Genomic DNA, 16,718 nt, shown 5'->3' with positions numbered 1-16,718 from the left:
CGCCGTGGCTGCGCGCCCATTGGTCGGCGGCTGGAGTCCCGGGCGCGCCCATTGGCTGCGGGGGGCGTTCACGTGGCAGGGGGCCTGGGATGGACCCCGGGGTCCCGAGAGCTGGCAGGAAAGTTAAAGGGGGCAGCGCGGCCGCGGGGAGCTCGAGTCCCGGGTGACTGCTGGAGGGAGGAGGTGACCGCGCAGCTCTCGTGCACGGACGGACTTCGCCGCCCGCGGGGGGCGCGAACCCGAGCCCGGGCCCAGCTCCTGCCGTCACGGCAGCTGTCCCTGTTCCCCCAGGGCGTATGCTGCCGCGGGCTGGCGCGTCTGCCCTCGGGACTTATGAGCTGAACCCGGTACGTAGCTCCCCAAGTCTCGAGTCCGAGGGAAGGGCTGGGGACAACAAGGCGAGGGCGTGCAGCGGGGACCTCTTTGGGTTCCTGTCACCTACATTTTCACCGTGCGACTTGCACTGGCACACCGGGGCTGGAACACTCTAGGTAGCTGGCCCCAGGGAGCTGTTGCTTCAGCGTGGAGAGGGCGATCCAGGGACCGCAGCTGGGAAGCGCCTCCCGGGCCCACGTGCTCCACCGCGCTGCTGGGCCCGGCTGCGACCGTGACCCGGGAGCTGCGGCTGCGGCGGCTGATCCCTTTACCACCTGTTGTTCTGGCTTCGAAACTAGCACAAGTTCCCAGCCCCGGGTCCCGAGAGGTCTGGAGACTTCTCCAAAGTTGGGTAGTGGGGTTTGGAGCTTAAGGACAAGCCGCTTCGTCTCTCTCCGGGCCTTATTTTCCCTATAAAACGCGAGGAAATACACTTGGTAGGCTCTCAGGCCACCGAGGGCGACGGGACCTAGCACGATCCCCGTCCCGGGCTGGCGGAGGCCAGGCGGCCGCGCGGGGGTGCTGGTGTCGCGCTGCTTGCTCCGGCCGGGGTTGCCCCTTTGCCGGCCCCGCCCGGGTGCGATAACGGGCTCCTCCTCCTCGTCGTCTTCCTCCCACCGCCGACATCTCCGGGAACCCAGCCCAGGCCCTGCCTCCCGGACACACCGACGCTCACGTAGTCGCGCTTGCCACAACCCTGCGGGCTCTCCGATGCGGCGAGCGAGCTGGGGAGGGGGCTTCTCCGCGGCCCAAAAGGTGGGTGCGGCGCGAGGCCAAGGAGGCTTGTAGGGAGGTTGGGGGCGGAGTGCAGCCCTGGTCAAACTGGACGGAGGGGACAGAGTCGGAGAGTAACTTGTGGGATCCTCCAGCCTGGAGAGCACTGGCCTGCTCCTGCGTCTCTTTGGAATCCAGAAAAAGGGGTGTGGAAGGCACAGTAGCTGCAAAAGAGGGAGTGGGGGCCGGTAATGACTTACTGGAAGATTTGGGGCCTGTCAGAGCACTGTTTTCTGAAAAAGAGGAGAAAACAGAGGAAAGACTGGACTTGGGAACTTGGAGACTTGGAAGGTGTTGGAACCTGTGGTCTGAGTGGCGGGGGCCTGCCTGGGAGACCCAGGGTGCAGCAGAAGAGACAATTAGAGCTTTGGTCTGGGAGGAAGAGGAGGAGAGGAGGAAATGTTTCCTTGGGCAGAGTTGTCCAGGAGCCAAAACTAAAGTGAAGACAGCTGGAGGACTTACACAAAAGTACAGTTGAGGTATTTAGGAAAAAAAGTTAGTGGGAAGAGAAGCGGCACCAGGGGTGGGTCGCAACATACAATGTCAGGGCCAGCAGGGACCTTGGAGGGGACCTCAAGCCCAGAGCAGCTGAGTGACTCGCTCAAGTAGCAAAGCAAGGTGCGGGCATTCTTAGCCTAGTACTCTGTTTTCCCTCGTACGTTTTTAGACGGCAGGGGCTGTGTCATTTGAACTTGCCTCTTTCCTAGAATATGCAACTGTATTCACAAATGTCAGTCTCCAAGATGCTTTGGATGATGGGGACAGGATCAAGGGGTACAAGGAGCCTTTAAGGCTGTGAATAGGCCCCCATGGTCTGAGTACAAAGGGGAAAGACATGCACTCTCTTCATGCTGGATCAGTGAAACCTTTTGGAAGGGAACACAGAATTGTTGGAGGGAGGTAGATGGCCATGTCTTTAAAAATGAAAATTATAACCTGGTTGTGAATGTTTACTGAATGCAGTTCGGCAGCTTTCAGTGTTCCTGGTGGGTTGCTTGTGCATCTGATTTTTTTGTTTGTTTGGTTTTGTTTGTTTGTTTTGAGACGGAGTGTCGCTCTGTCGCCCAGGCTGGAGTGCAGTGGCGCCATCTCTGGCTCATTGTAAGCTCCGCCTCCCGGGTTCACGCCATTCTCCTGCCTCGGCCTCCTGAGTAGCTGGGACTACAGGCGCCCGCCACCACGCCCAGCTAATTTTTATTTGTATTTTTAGTAGAGACGGGGTTTCACCGTGTTAGCCAGGATGGTGTCGATCTCCTGACCTCGTGATCTGCCCGCCTCGGCCTCCCAAAGTGCTGGGATTACAGGCGTGAGCCACCACGCCCGGCCTTTTTTTGCCTTTTTTTTTTTTTTTTGAGACGTAGTTTCGCTCTGTCGCCCAGGCTGGACTGCAGTGGCGCCATCTCGGCTCACTGCAAGCTCCGCCTCCCGGGTTCGCGCCATTCTCCTGCCTCGGCCTCCTGAGTAGCTGGGACTACAGGCGCCCGCCGCCACGCCCGGCTAATTTTTTTTTTTTGTATTTTTAGTAGAGACGGGGTTTCACCGTGTTCGCCAGGATGGTCTCGATCTCCTGATCTCGTGATCCGCCCGCCTCGGCCTCCCAAAGTGCTGGGATTACAGGCGTGAGCCACCACGCCCGGCCTTTTTGTCTTTTCTTACCAGAAGAAAGAGAGAGAGAGAATAAGAGAATGGAGGGGATAATGTCGTGGCCCTGATACAAAAAAGATTTCCTCCCTATGAAAGGTACAGCCAGAAAGTCAGTAGTTCAGCTGCCTGAAACCGTGAAGGTCATAGGGTTATTTTCTGTGCAGGTCTATAGTTATCACCATGGCCGTCTAACCTTGGCCAGCTGTCTTGAGAAGGTGTGTTATGAGTGGAACAGATAAAGCATTTATGCAAAACTATCTCCATGATCTGTTAGGGTTTGCCCTGTCTTAGCCATGAACACTGTAATCTACCCTCAAGCATGGCCCAGTCTCTCACCAGAGAAACTGATCCCTGAGCTCTGAGGCATCTCTATGGAAGCAAGTGTTTGAGAATTCATACCTACCTGGGAGCAGCACTCATACACTCATTCCTATCCTGCAACTGGTATCAGATCCTGAGTCCTGCTCTCATGGTTCAAATGTATGTCCATAACTTCTGGTTCTTTTTTTTTCCCCCTTGGCCAACTTTGGTGACTCATATTCCCTGGCCTGGGAAAAGGACAGAGCTGGAGCAGCCAGAGAGTCTGTCAGGAGAGGAGGCTGGGCTGCAGCCTGGTGCTTCCTGTGTTGGAACCGATCATTTTCATGTCATTTGTAAAAGAAGCACCTGTCCAGGTGCCTTCTTTTCAGGAACTTAATATTACCTTGCACATCTCAGTTGCTAGGAGTACTTCTGCATGGCGGCAGCCATCCCTGTCACAGTCCGCTGGGGAGTTCCTGAGCAGTTCAGGAAAGCCTACACCAAACCAGCACTTTGGTGTGCTGATTCTTGGAGAATGACCTGGTAAATAAAATCTGGAAGCTATCTGTGGGACAGGCAAGGTGACTGACAGTCGAGTCATACCCCAGATTGAGGCCACACAGGTTAATGTCCTCACCTGCAGTTATGGTGACACACAAAGTGAAGGGATTCTAGACTGGGGTTGCTTGTGCAATGTCCCTGGGGTAGTAGTCCTGCGGGTAACTCTTGAGCCATCATAACCTTACTTTTGCCTTTCATGGAAGAATCTTGTAATAGCAGTTTGGCTCCTTCAAGTGCCAGCAGCATTGTTTAATTAGCTCTGGCTCTGACTAGAGCCTGGCCTCTCCAAGCCGGACTTCTGCTTGTTCTTACAGCTTGGTGATAAAAAGGGATCTCAGGGACAAATTTATGCCACTGGGGTGAAACAGTGAAACTCTACCAAGGTCTTCAGCTAAGTCTCTTCAGCCTGCGGGATTAGAACTTGGGACATTGGCTCTAGTGGGCTGTGTGTAGATTCTTTGATTGATCCTTTTGCTTTGGCTGTTTCCACAATATCTTGAGAGTTTCCAAGGCTTTTCCTAACATGCAGAAAAAGCACGTAGGAGGCTGGTTTGCAGGCTTCTTGGAAGTGCAAAGAGAACTTGCAGATAACCTGTGCTGACTCAGTTGAGGAGGAAGCTGTGAAGAGGAACCCTTCCTCCCTCAGTTCACACCCAGATTTTTCAGGATGGGTAGAGTGGGGGGCACTGGGATGCCAGATATAGCCTCTTGTTTGGTTTTCGTACTTGTTTAAAAACAAGGCTGGGCACGGTGGCTCATGCCTATAATCCCAGCACTGTGGGAGGCTGAGGGGAGCAGATCATGAGGTCAGGAGTTCGAGACCAGCCTGACATGGTGAAACCCCGTCTCTACTAAAAATACAAAAATTAGCTGGGGGTGGTGGTGCACGCCTGTAATCCCAGGGGTGGTGGCACGAGTAGTCCCAGCTACTTGGGAGGCTGAGGCAGGAGAATCGCTTGAACCCGGATGGCAGAGGTTGCAGTGAGCTGAGATTGCGCCACGGCACTCCAGCCTGGGCAACAGAGCAAGACTCCATCTCGAAAAAAAAAAAATTAAAAATAAGACAAAACAAAAACACTACCTGTGTTACAGTTAGAGCTGAGGGTATAATTCCAGCACAGTTTTGCAAAGGACAAGAGTAACTAAAATTTAGATATTTTGTAAGTATAGGATTTTTTTTTTACATTGAACCTGTTAGTCAATCCGTGGAACCTCTGCAAACCTACCTTGCCTAATTCAGTCAGAACTTTCCTTTCCAGAACAGTTACGTGGCTATAAGAACAGATCATTGAAAGCAAATTTGCCCTTAAAATTTTCACTAGATTGATTTTCTTAAAGGGGAAACAGTGAGACAGATATCCTTTAAAATGAATGTTTAAGCACCTGCATTCTGGCCATAAGTTATTGTTTTATTTGTTTCCGAATATGTGTATTTCTCTGACTGGCCATCTGTAAGGGTTTCTTGCATCCCAGGGAAGTTCTGTACTTTTGGAAAAATGGGGTCAAATCTGATATGTGTTCGTCCGTTCACCTTTTTTCTTTACATGTTTGGTTAATCACAATCAGAAGGTGAAAATGAGAGGTTATTTATAGAACTGAACCAGTGGTCCCAGCTCTTTACAGAAGACACTTGGCATGTTGCCTGTCACTTCTCAGGGGTGGCCATGGCTGCTTGAGAGTGAGCTCCCCAACACGTCATCACACACCTACACCTGTGCCATAAGGAGGGGTAAGATAGGTTGAGGGGAGATAGGTTTGGGGACTCATCCAGATCCTGTGTTCTGTGATTCTCAGACTTGAGATTTTAATCCTAGTTTCGGCACTCATTTCCTTAATTTAGTCCATTGAAACTGTCAAATCAAAATATAAATTTGCCATGGTAATTAGAATGATAAAAAGTGCTCAGATTTTGGGAGGCTGAAGCGGGAGGATTGCTTGAGCTCAGGAGTTTGAGACCAACCTGGGCAACATGGTGAAACCCTGCCTCTATAAAAATTGAAAAATTAGCTGGGCATGGAGGTGCACACCTGTAGTTCCAGCTACTTTGGAGGCTGAGGCGGGAGGATTGCTTGGGCCCAGGAGTTTGAGGTTCCAGTGAGCTATGATTGCACCACTGCACTCCAGCCTGGGCAACACAGCAAGATCCTGTCTTATAAAAAAAAAGTGCTCAGCTTTAGTGAGGCAGTAGTGATGGGATGGGTTTTTGGCATATCATAAAATATTTGAGGATTTTTTTTAGGTTCATTTTGTTCTGATGATAGAAGCAATATTATTTTAGAAGATATAATACAAACCAGGATACCAGAAATTCCTGAAATCTTGTCACCTAGGTATTCTGATTTTAAATATATATCTCTAGTCTTTTTTCTCTGCATTTACATAATACAGTTGATCCTTGGACAACATGGAGTCTAGGGGAGCCTAGCCCCCACACAGTCAAAAATCCACATATAACTTTTGACTCCCCAAAACCTTCACTTCTAACAGCTTACTGTTGACCAGAGTCTTACCAATAACATCAACAGTCGATTAACACATATTTTGTATTTTATTTGTAACATATACCGTATTCTTATAGTAAAGTAAACTAAAGGAAAGAAAATGTTAAGAAAATCATAGGAAAGAGAAAATATATTTACTATTCATTAAGTGGATGCGGGTCATCATAAAGGTCTTCATTCTCATCCTCTTCACGTTGAGTAGGCTGAGGAGGAGGAAGAGGAGGAGAAGGGGTTGGTCTTGCTGTCTCAGGGCGGCAGAGGCAGAAGAGAATCTGAGCATACGTGGACCTACAAAGTTCAAACTCATGTCGTTGAAGTGACAACAGCATTTTTCCCCACAAGTCTAGTTTCTATGTACAATTTTATCTTCTCTCTCTCTATATATATATACATATGTAGACATAAATATAAATATATAATATTTTTTTTTCATTTCATTTGAATCTTTTTTAAAATAATGGCTTTAATGATGATATAAAATTACATCACATGGGCTGGCCATGATGGCTCCCCGCCTGCAATCCCAGCACTTTGGGAGGCCGAGGCGGGTGGATCACCTGAGGTCAGGAGTTTGAGACCAGCTTGGCCAACATGGTGAAACCCTGTCTCTACTAAAAATACAAAAATTAGCTGGGCGTGGTGGCAGACTCCTGTAATCCCAGCTACTCGAAAGGCTAAGGCAGGAGAATCACTTGAACCTGGGAGGTGGAGGTTGCAGTGAACCGAGATTGTGCCATTGCACTCCAGCCTGGGTGACACGAGTGAAACTCTGTCTCAAAAAAGGAAAAAATAACAACAGTAAAAATAAAAGTACATCACATGGATGTGGTACATTTAATTTAACCAGGTACCTGTTAATGGTCACCTAGGTTATTTTGTCATCTTTTTCCCCCTATAATGTGGCATTGAACATTTTAGTACCTTAATCTCTGTGTGTTTTTAATTCTTTACCTAGGATAAATGTCTCTATGTGATATTAGGATAAAAAATGATTAAAAAATTAGAAAGTTTGTACCAATTTTAACTAATGAAAATGTTTGCATTGGCTGGGCACAGTGGCTCATACCTATAAATCCCAGCATTTTGGGAGGCTGAGGTGGGAGGATTGCTTGAGTCCAGGAATTCAAGACTGGTCTGAGCAACATAGTGAGACCTCGTCTCTACAAAAAAATATTTTTTAAAAATTAGCCGGACATGGTGGCTCATGCCTGTGGTCCTAGCTACTCGGGAGGCTGAGGTGGGAGGACCGCTTGAGCCCAGGAGGTGGAGGCTGCCATAAGCCATGTTCATACCACTTCACTCCAGCCTAGGTGACAGAGTAAGACCCAGTCTCAAACAAAAAAAAAAAAAAAAGAAAAACTTGTATTATCTTTTCAATTTTTTTCCTAATTCAATAAATAAAAAACAGACATTGTTTTTCATCTAAATTTCTTAAATTAATAATAAGGTTGAACATTTTGCATATTTATAGGCCACTTTAAAATTTTTTTTCATGAATTTTCTATTCATGTTCTTTGCTTATTTTTCTATGTGGAATATTTGACTTTATTATTGCTTTGTAAGAACACTTTACATATTAAGGTATTAGCTCTGCTGCTATGCTTATTGTAAAATATTTTCACAGTTTGTCTGTAGTCTTTTTTTGTTTTACTTATCGTTTTTACTTAAAGAAAATATAGTTTTTGTTAACTCAGATTTATCCTCTTTCAGCATGATTCTCTTTGCTTTTTATTCTTATAGAGCCAATTTTTTACTTGTGGAAAAAACAAATATTCACCTATGTTAAAGGCTTAAGAATACGAAATTGCTGGTTGTTTTTATTTTATTTATTTTTATTTTTTTTGAGACAGAGTCTTGCTCTGTGGCCCAGGCTGGAGTGTGTGATCTCTGCACACTGCAACCTCCGCCTCCCAGGTTCAAGCAATTCTGCTGTCTCAGCCTACAGAGCAGCTGGGACTACAGGTGCATGCCACCATGCCCAGCTAATTTTTGTAATTTTAGTAGAGATGGGGTTTCACCATATTGGTCAGGCTGGTCTCAAACTCCTGACCTCAGATGAACCACCTGCCCAGCCTCCCAAAGTGTTGGGATTACAGGCGTGAGCCACCGCCCAGGCCTGCTGGTTCTTTTTAAAAGAATGGTATCCTGACATTTAAAAACCTACCATAAACTTAATGAAAGCAGGTTTGTGTCTATCTTCACTATTGAATCCCAGTATCTTGCTTGATGCCTGCCATATAGGAAACACCCAATCCCTATTTGTGGGATGAATCCATTTCTTTTTATCAGATTATAGCAAATATAAAGCCACAATGAGATGTCACGTCACACCCGTTAGGATGGCTATTTTCAAGAAGACCAAAGAAAATAAGTATTGGCAAAGACGTGGAGAAAAGGGAACCCTTGTCTCCTGCTGGTGGGAATGTAAATTAGTACAGCCATTATGGAAAATAGTAGGGAGGCTCCTCAAAAAACCACAACTAGAACTACTATATGACCCGGCAATCCCACTGCAGGACATATATCCAAAGGAATTGAAGTCAGTGTATCGGAGAGTTATCTGTACTCTTATGTTCATTGCAGCGTTATTCACTAAGCCAAGATACGGAATCAACCTAAGTGCCCATCATTGGATGAGTGAATAAAGAAAACATGGTATATAAACACAGTGGAATACCATTCTACCTGAAGAAAGAAGGAAATCCTGTCATTTGTGCCAACGGGGATGAACCTGGAGGATGTTAAGTGAATAAGTCAGGCACAGAGTGACAAATATAGCATGATCTCACTTATATGTGGAATCTGAAAAAGTCAAACTCATAGAAACAGAGAGTACAGGGGTGGCTACCAGAAAGTGAGGGTAGAGGGACTGGAGAGGTATCCTTTGGCCAAAGGATACAAAATTTCAGGTAGACGGGAGGAATAAATTCAAGAGATCTGATGTACAATATGGTGCCTATACTTGGTAATGATATGTTATATATTTGAAAATTGCTGAGAGTGGATTTTAAGTGTTCTCACTGCAAAAAAAGTGTGATATAATGCATGTTAAATAGCTCGATTTAGCCATTCCACAATGTATACATATATGGAAACCTGTTGTACACCATAAGAATATACAATTTTTACTTCTCAATTAATAAAGAGAGGCAGAGAGGCTCACACCTGTAATCCTAGCACCTTGGGAGGTCAAGGCAGGAGGATGGATTGAGCCAGGAGTGTGAGACCAGCCTGGGCAACATAGCGAGTCCTGTCTCTACAAAAATTTTTTAAAATTAGCCAAGCATGGTGACTTGCGCCTGTGGTCCCACTTTCTTGGGAGGCTGAGGTGGGAGGATCATTTGAGCCTGGGAGGTCGAGGCTGCAGTGAGCTGTGCTCACGCCACTGCGCTCCAGCCTGGGCACAGAGCAACACCCTATCTCTAAAAATACGTAAATAAATAGTGTCCCTCAGGACAGCTATCTGTGGAAGACACCCTTTTAGTCAAATAGATTTGGGAAATTTTAAAACAGTATATATGCCCTTTTGATTATCCTCTGTGGCACATTTGCCAACGGAAGGCCCCAAGAAATGCTGACCAAAAAACCTGTGCATTTAGTTTTAAAACTAGTGGGTTTCATACTCTTTTGTTTGTTTTAACCTTGAAGCACCCCCCACCCCCCACCGCATCTCGTCCCCCCACAACATAATCTTCTCTCAAACGCATGTTGTGCTGGACCACACCAGAGTTAATCCTGACCTGTAGCCAGGTGGGCATAGATAAAAGGAAATATTGTTTGCCAGTCCCTGCTGGAATGATGCCTTTACACATCTGTCTGATCTGATTGCTCCACTGTTTTCTTTCTTCTCTTCCCTTTCCACGGTTCTAGCCTGTTCATCTAGCCCCATGATGGCTGTGGACATCGAGTACAGATACAACTGCATGGCTCCTTCCTTGCGCCAAGAGAGGTTTGCCTTTAAGATCTCACCAAAGCCCAGCAAACCACTGAGGCCTTGTATTCAGCTGAGCAGCAAGAATGAAGCCAGTGGAATGGTGGCCCCGGCTGTCCAGGAGAAGAAGGTGAAAAAGCGGGTGTCCTTCGCAGACAACCAGGGGCTGGCCCTGACAATGGTCAAAGTGTTCTCGGAATTCGATGACCCGCTAGATATGCCATTCAACATCACCGAGCTCCTAGACAACATTGTGAGCTTGACGACAGCAGAGAGCGAGAGCTTTGTTCTGGATTTTTCCCAGCCCTCTGCAGATTACTTAGACTTTAGAAATCGACTTCAGGCCGACCACGTCTGCCTTGAGAACTGTGTGCTCAAGGACAAGGCCATTGCAGGCACTGTGAAGGTTCAGAACCTCGCATTTGAGAAGACCGTGAAAATAAGGATGACGTTCGACACCTGGAAGAGCTACACAGACTTTCCTTGTCAGTACGTGAAGGACACTTATGCCGGTTCAGACAGGGACACGTTCTCCTTCGACATCAGCTTGCCCGAGAAGATTCAGTCTTATGAAAGAATGGAGTTTGCTGTGTACTACGAGTGCAATGGACAGACGTACTGGGACAGCAACAGAGGCAAGAACTATAGGATCATCCGGGCTGAGTTAAAATCTACCCAGGGAATGACCAAGCCCCACAGTGGACCGGATTTGGGAATATCCTTTGACCAGTTCGGAAGCCCTCGGTGTTCCTATGGTCTGTTTCCAGAGTGGCCAAGTTACTTAGGATATGAAAAGCTAGGGCCCTACTACTAGTGACTGCAGGTGACAGGGCGTGGCGGAGCTGCCACAGACAAGCCTAGCTCTGCTCACTGTGCAGTGGAGATGGAAGGCCAGGGAGGAGCAACGTGGAACTTCCATGAGGCCCCGTTTGGGAAAATAAAAGGATCCTCTTCACTTCTTTCTTAAACAGCAAATCCAGCCAGGTTCAGATTACACAACCAGTGTCTCACTCAAAGGAGCAGTGGTGGCTGGCGCGCTTTCGCACTGTGGCAGCCACGAGAGTCTGTGCACGTCTGTGCTGGAAAGGGTATGGATGGGAATCAAGCCTATGCCAGTGCTGATGAAGCTGGAGGAGTCTCTCCTCTGCTCTCCACTCAGATGTGGGACATCAGTCGCCAAAAGCCACTCAGCCCCAGCCACCTCGCGTGAGACCCTCACTGTTCATTGTGTTCATCTTTGGGTGCTCTCTGCCAGCCAGGCCTTTCCTGCAAGCTGCTGTGCTTCCCCGTCCACGTGTATCTCTGCTGTGACACACTGAGCTGACGCACATTTCCAGTGCAGCTGCAGAAGAGAAATGGGATTGGCTCTTGTTTTCTGCAAGTTCATGTTTTGCATTTTATGTTCTTCCACAATTGATCTGATGTTCAGGAAAAGATAATAAAGGCAAATTAGTTAGTGGTTGAGACAGGCATTTCCTCCTCCCGCTTCTTGACCCCACAGATGTATTCCAGCAGAGAGCAACACACCAGTCATCAAAACCCACTGGCTCCTGTGCGGTGTCACAGATTGCAGGGTTCTGACAAGGCAGGACAGTCAAGAGTGGGGACACTTTCAGCTTCTACTTTTGCCTTCTAGGGGGAGCTTTCTAAGTCCCCACATTTACCCCGAGTCACCGGAAAAATCTGATTTTTCCCCCGAAAGCTCAATGACTTTAACGTGCTTGGCTGGTTTGTCTCATTCTTTATGAAAGAATTTTGGGGCCGGGCGCGGTGGCTTATGCCTGTAATCCCAGCACTTTGGGAGGCCGAGGCAGGTGGATCACGAGGTCAGGAGATCGAGACCATCCTGGCTAACACGGTGAAACCCTGTCTCTACTAAAAATACAAAAAAATTAGCCAGGCGTGGTGGCGGGCGCCTGTAGTCCCAGCTACTTGGGAGGCTGAGGCAGGAGAATGGCGGGAACCTGGGAGGCGGAGCTTACAGTGAACCGAGATCACACCACTGCATTCCCGCCTGGGCAGCAGAGCGAGACTCCGTCTCAAACAGAAAAAAAAAGAGAATTTTGAATCTCCTTTCCCAAAGAGTCATCTTTTCTGCTGTGTTTAGGACATTTGATTTGCATATCCAATATCTCCTCGAAACCTTCAGAAAATGGTTTTATCGTGACTGTGATTCACACTATCTAGAACACTTTACCAGCACCCAGGGACATGGACTTGGGTGTTCTTATTTATGGTGTGTATGTAAAGAGATAGGGGAGAAAAACCTCACCCAAGTTCTTATACGTTATTTTAAACGTTTGCCAACTCTGAAATTTCAGAGATTCATTGTTCTTAACCATATTGGACTAAAGTCTGTTGGTTAGTGCTGTTGTAAAAGAGACCTCTGGGGCCGAGTGTGGTGGCTTATGCCTGTAATCCCTGCACTTTGGGAAGCCAAGGCGGGCAGCTCACCTGAGGTCAGGCGTTCAAGACCAGCCTGGCCAACATGGTGAAACCTCGTCTGTACTAAAAATACAAAATTTAGCTGAGTGTGGTGGCAGGCGCCTGTAATCCAGCTACTCGGGAGGCTGAGGCAGGAGAATCACTTGAACCCAGGAGGTGGAGGTTGCAGTGAGCCGAGATCACGTCACTGCATTTCAGCCTGAGCGACAGAGTGAAACTGTCTCAAAAAAGAGAGACTTCCGGGACAGTCATTATCAGATAGGCCCCAAACCTGTGATTTTTCTTGGGCAAGATTGGTGTTTACTTAGGGGTGCTTTAAAAATATATTTTTACAAGTATACTTGTAGGAAGTTGGTTTTTTATTTTCTATTTTTGTTTGTTTTTGGAGTTTGGTTAAACGACTCTTTTATTTTCTGTTTTGCCTTATCTTACTAAAGTGAAGTTTTCCTAAGGCAAGCAAGAAGAGGAGTGGAAGCACAGTTGCCTGGATTTGGAGGCAGAGTTGTCAGGCTTTTCAAGCTAAGAGTCTTGTGCTTGGATTTTCCAGATTAATTTGAAAAGACCTCCCATTTGTGGCTTTGTACATAACCAACAGGCAGATACTGAGTGCCTTGGCTCCTAGAGTTTTGTGGTTGGGTTAGGTTGTTTTTGTTGTTGTTTTGTTTTGGTTTTGTTTTCATTTCTGAAGTTTAAGATGCCTTGACTTTTTAAATGCTCTTAAGGCTATTCGATGTAATTCTTACTCCTAAAACTGGCTGTTCTTAGCCTGAAATCTAATGCTTTGTTTTTTGTACCTCTCCCAGGTGGGTAACACTCTAGGATGACATGATGTTATAATTTTAGGGGAAATCACATTTTTACCTTATGCTGTTACTGGGCAGAACCACGTTTTATGTAAACATACCAGACATCGGGTAACAGACAGTACTTTAAATGTTATAAATTTGGTGATCAGAACTATTAATAGCATAAATCGAACTCAAATGGAAGCAAAACTGATTTCATGCAGGTCCTGAATTTTACTTTGCCTTAAGAAGTGCCCTCCCCACAATGCAGGAGAGGCACAGAGTGCACTGTCATTGACATGTTACCCGACTAAGGATCACTCTGTTCATAAGAAAAAGGCCTGAAGTGACTCTGTTTAATAAAGTCAGTTTAATTTTATCTAATAATGATCTTAAGACATTCCCATGTCAAAATTTGAAATATGGTAATTCAGTGATAACTATCTCTTCTAAAGCAGCCGTAAACCCTCCCCACTACCCGTCTTTCTCCCAGCTCACCCTGGCTTTTTTTGCTGGGGGTGCTGGATGCAAGCCCCCAGCCAGCACACCTGGGATGCTCACCCTGCCGCACAGTTCAGAAGGCAAGTCCTCACCTGCTCGCAAAGACCCTTCTTCTCCAATAAAAGACTCTACTTGCCTGAGTTTCCTCATCAGGGCTGTCATTCAGTGATGTATGGGGGTCTGAAGAATACTGCCTTCTATCTGTCTTCTGTTTACCACTTGCTCCTCTGCTACCCTCCTGCCGCAAACAGTCTTCTTCCTTTTGGCCCAGTTCTGTCCCGTGAAATTCTCAGAAGGCCTCGGGAGCTGCGCTGATGTATTCTCTCCTTGTTTGATAGCTCATCATCAGTAGATAAGCCTACACACTTCAGAGGGTGACAGGTTTCTTACTTGGAGACTTCACTGCACCTTGACTTGTAGATTTGCCTTCAGACAGCTCTTGGTTATGGTTACAAGTGGCCCCCGAGTCCCAGAATCTTTCCCAGGTTGCCCCAGAAAGACCAGCCACCTGTCACAGGTGCAGTTGTCCGGCAATAGGGAAGCAACTTCATTTTTGTTTTATATTTATTCCCTCAAGTGCCCTGAGGAGCATTTGCAAACTGGGTACAATAAATAAGCTGGATTATACAAAGATATTTAATAAATAAGCTTTCAGTATCTATTGGAAGACATGAAGCATTTGAGTGGGTTTCTTTATTTAAAAAATTATTCTACTGGAGCTGGTGAGAAATAATGAAGCTGTACAGTTCTCCAGAAATTAAAACAATGTCAGAGTCAATGGGAGAATTTAATTTACCTTTAAGATTTCATTTTAATGGTGGCAAAATTATACATTCTTAGAAGATGTAAATTTGGAACTGTTAGGAGATTGCTCTGTGGTTTTGATCTTTTCAAACCATTTTCTTTTTGAAAAAAGGCATTAGTTGTAGTCATGGACATTAAATGGGCCATATATGCTTATCAATCAAAAAAGTGTTCCTTTTTTGGAACTGCCCATTTTCTGGATCTTCCCTCTCAATGGATAGGGGATGAAAACCTTGGTTGCCTTTTATTTGTTTCCTCTTCTAAAATTTCTCACCTGAATGTAGTCCTGGGAGAGTCCCGATCACGTCTCTCCTGACATGTTCACTGAAATCGGAGACAAGAAGTTACATGGATGATGGGATCTTATAGGGTCACACAAAGACAATTTGGCAGCTTATCTTAATTTCCTGCAGTGAGACAACACATGTGGAACTGGGAAGGACAGCTGTTGTTACGAGCAGTTTTTCCTGGTCATGGTTGTAAAGCTCTGTAACCCACATTGTAAAGCCGTGAATGTTTTTAGTCTTGTTGACGAGTTTTTAGAGACTGCTGGACCTCTGAGGGCTTTGAGAGTGCAGCTGTGATGATGTTTCACTATTACTTCAGTGTGAATGTAGAACCAAGGACTCATCTTCATTTTATACCTAAAAGTGCCTTGTCAAGAAATTTTTGCATGTTTTAAAAGATAAATATTTTTGTACACAGAGTTCAAGGGGAAATGCACTTTAAAAATCCCAAGAATGGATGTTCTTTGTGTGGTATGAGAGGTTGGTTTGTATCTCAAAAGCAAAAATGTAATAAAGGAAGACAAAACAAAACTGAAAGTGTCCTTCTATTCTTAGAGCCAGAGTAAGTGGAGAAACATTTCAAATCGATATGTTTCCACATGTAGATCTTAGGTTTCCAAAGAAAAAGCTTGCAGTCAATGGCTGAGTTAAATGTGCAAGGCAGAGAGGAGTTAATTGCTTTAGCATAGCTGAGAAGGTAAGTGCTAGGGAAGAGATACAGGAGCTAGTGTTATTCTGCACCCATTTTTAATGATCCTAGGTCATAGGCATTCTTACCCTGTCATTTGCACTTGAAGTACAGTGCAGACAGACGTATTCAAACAAAAGCAGGAAAACTATAAATGGCTACCATAGCTTTTAACTGCTTGAGCAAACAAACTAAGCAGCAAAACAAAACAGCCCCGGATAGGTAGCGGATAGTCACCCTAAGTGAGATTTCCAGAGCTGCTTTTTTCCAAAGTTCAGGACAAGATGCAGGCAGAGTGGGGGTGGGAAGCTGCATCTAGAAGTTCCATGTCAACAAGTCCTCTGCCACCCTGGGGAAGTGGGCGGTGGCTCCAGTGGAAAGGCAGAGTGTATTAAAGTTTAGCAGCTAGTGTGTAGATGCAAAAAGTGAGCTCCGTACGTAACTTTCTCCAGATTTTTACACTCTGCCCACAACTTGCCTTCACAGACATAGGAAGGGTGGAGACGTTAACTCTGGCTTTCGTGAATGTCTATTTGAGGTTCAGTGAGGTTTTAATAATCATTACCTAATCATAAGTTGTGAGACCAACACCTCAGGAATGTCTGGAATAAAAATAAGAAAAAAACACTTTTCTAGAGCAATGTCTCCAGAATGGCAAATGTCCAGCTCTGAGTAATTCAATTGAACATTTACCACTCAGCTTCCATATACAAAGCAGTGCCAGGTGCTTTTCCCACAACCCCCACAGAGGACATTCACATATTCCGGGTGACGCCTCTGGTGAGCATGGAGAGCCACTGGAAGGTATTGGAATTCAGGAAGTCTGGCTTCCAATCCAAGCTCTGCCACCGACCTCTTTGGCTTCCCATCTCCTGTCAGTGGCTCTACTGAAGGGGCCCTGAGCATGTTTAGTAGGAATAAGGTAACCAGGGGCTCTAGCAGTGCCCTGAATGCTTTTGAGAGTCAGCCAACATGTTCATTTTTAAGAGGTTTCTAAATATAGACTCTCATAAGAAGTACCTTGTACACTATTTGTGTCCTCTCCAGGAATCACGGGAGTGAATCACATTCCAGACACTTGCTTGGACTTCATCACATCCTCAGTGACTGGGCTGGAAGAAA

General features: G+C 46.1%; 1 protein-coding gene and 1 long non-coding RNA gene across 5 annotated transcripts, besides 5 other annotated features; one reads left to right on the top strand and one right to left on the bottom strand.

Moving 5' to 3' along the window:
• Nucleotides 32–281: a silencer, noted in NCBI's record as "silent region_18906". NCBI's record gives its function as "represses an Ori minimal core promoter by ATAC-STARR-seq in GM12878 lymphoblastoid cells {active_cell/tissue: GM12878}" and the evidence as "EXISTENCE:reporter gene assay evidence [ECO:0000049][PMID:35858748]".
• On the top strand, nt 155–15,439 carry PPP1R3B (protein phosphatase 1 regulatory subunit 3B). Of its 4 annotated transcripts, none has more exons than NM_001201329.2 (2): nt 155–347; nt 10,026–15,439. In NM_001201329.2, exon 2 carries the CDS (start codon nt 10,043–10,045, stop codon nt 10,898–10,900), a length of 858 nt encoding a protein of 285 aa, NP_001188258.1. In that variant the 5' UTR covers nt 155–347; nt 10,026–10,042; the 3' UTR covers nt 10,901–15,439. The 4 variants fall into 4 exon arrangements, with proteins under 4 accessions (NP_001188258.1, XP_047278191.1, NP_078883.2 ...); XM_047422235.1 differs by having other exon boundaries at nt 155–348; nt 10,019–15,439; NM_024607.4 differs by lacking the exon at nt 155–347 and adding an exon at nt 1,036–1,131.
• Nucleotides 402–641: an enhancer, noted in NCBI's record as "active region_26981". NCBI's record gives its function as "activates an Ori minimal core promoter by ATAC-STARR-seq in GM12878 lymphoblastoid cells {active_cell/tissue: GM12878}" and the evidence as "EXISTENCE:reporter gene assay evidence [ECO:0000049][PMID:35858748]".
• Nucleotides 688–1,636: an enhancer, noted in NCBI's record as "H3K27ac-H3K4me1 hESC enhancer chr8:9007568-9008516 (GRCh37/hg19 assembly coordinates)". NCBI's record gives its function as "activates a minimal SCP1, AML or CMV promoter by ChIP-STARR-seq in primed H9 embryonic stem cells {active_cell/tissue: H9 hESC(primed)}" and the evidence as "EXISTENCE:reporter gene assay evidence [ECO:0000049][PMID:30033119]".
• Nucleotides 782–1,051: a silencer, noted in NCBI's record as "silent region_18905". NCBI's record gives its function as "represses an Ori minimal core promoter by ATAC-STARR-seq in GM12878 lymphoblastoid cells {active_cell/tissue: GM12878}" and the evidence as "EXISTENCE:reporter gene assay evidence [ECO:0000049][PMID:35858748]".
• On the bottom strand, nt 6,184–10,275 carry PPP1R3B-AS1 (PPP1R3B antisense RNA 1). The gene is made up of 2 exons (XR_007060810.1): nt 9,896–10,275; nt 6,184–6,443 (listed from the first exon to the last, which is right to left on the bottom strand). It is a non-coding gene; the product is annotated as a PPP1R3B antisense RNA 1 (long non-coding RNA).
• Nucleotides 10,706–11,205: an enhancer, noted in NCBI's record as "H3K4me1 hESC enhancer chr8:8997999-8998498 (GRCh37/hg19 assembly coordinates)". NCBI's record gives its function as "activates a minimal SCP1, AML or CMV promoter by ChIP-STARR-seq in naive H9 embryonic stem cells {active_cell/tissue: H9 hESC(naive)}" and the evidence as "EXISTENCE:reporter gene assay evidence [ECO:0000049][PMID:30033119]".

This window comes from Homo sapiens, chromosome 8 (assembly GCF_000001405.40).
Source record: "Homo sapiens chromosome 8, GRCh38.p14 Primary Assembly".
NCBI lineage: Eukaryota > Metazoa > Chordata > Mammalia > Primates > Hominidae > Homo > Homo sapiens.
The sequence above is the reverse complement of the archived record's forward strand: the minus strand, read 5'-3'. Positions and strand labels throughout refer to the sequence as shown.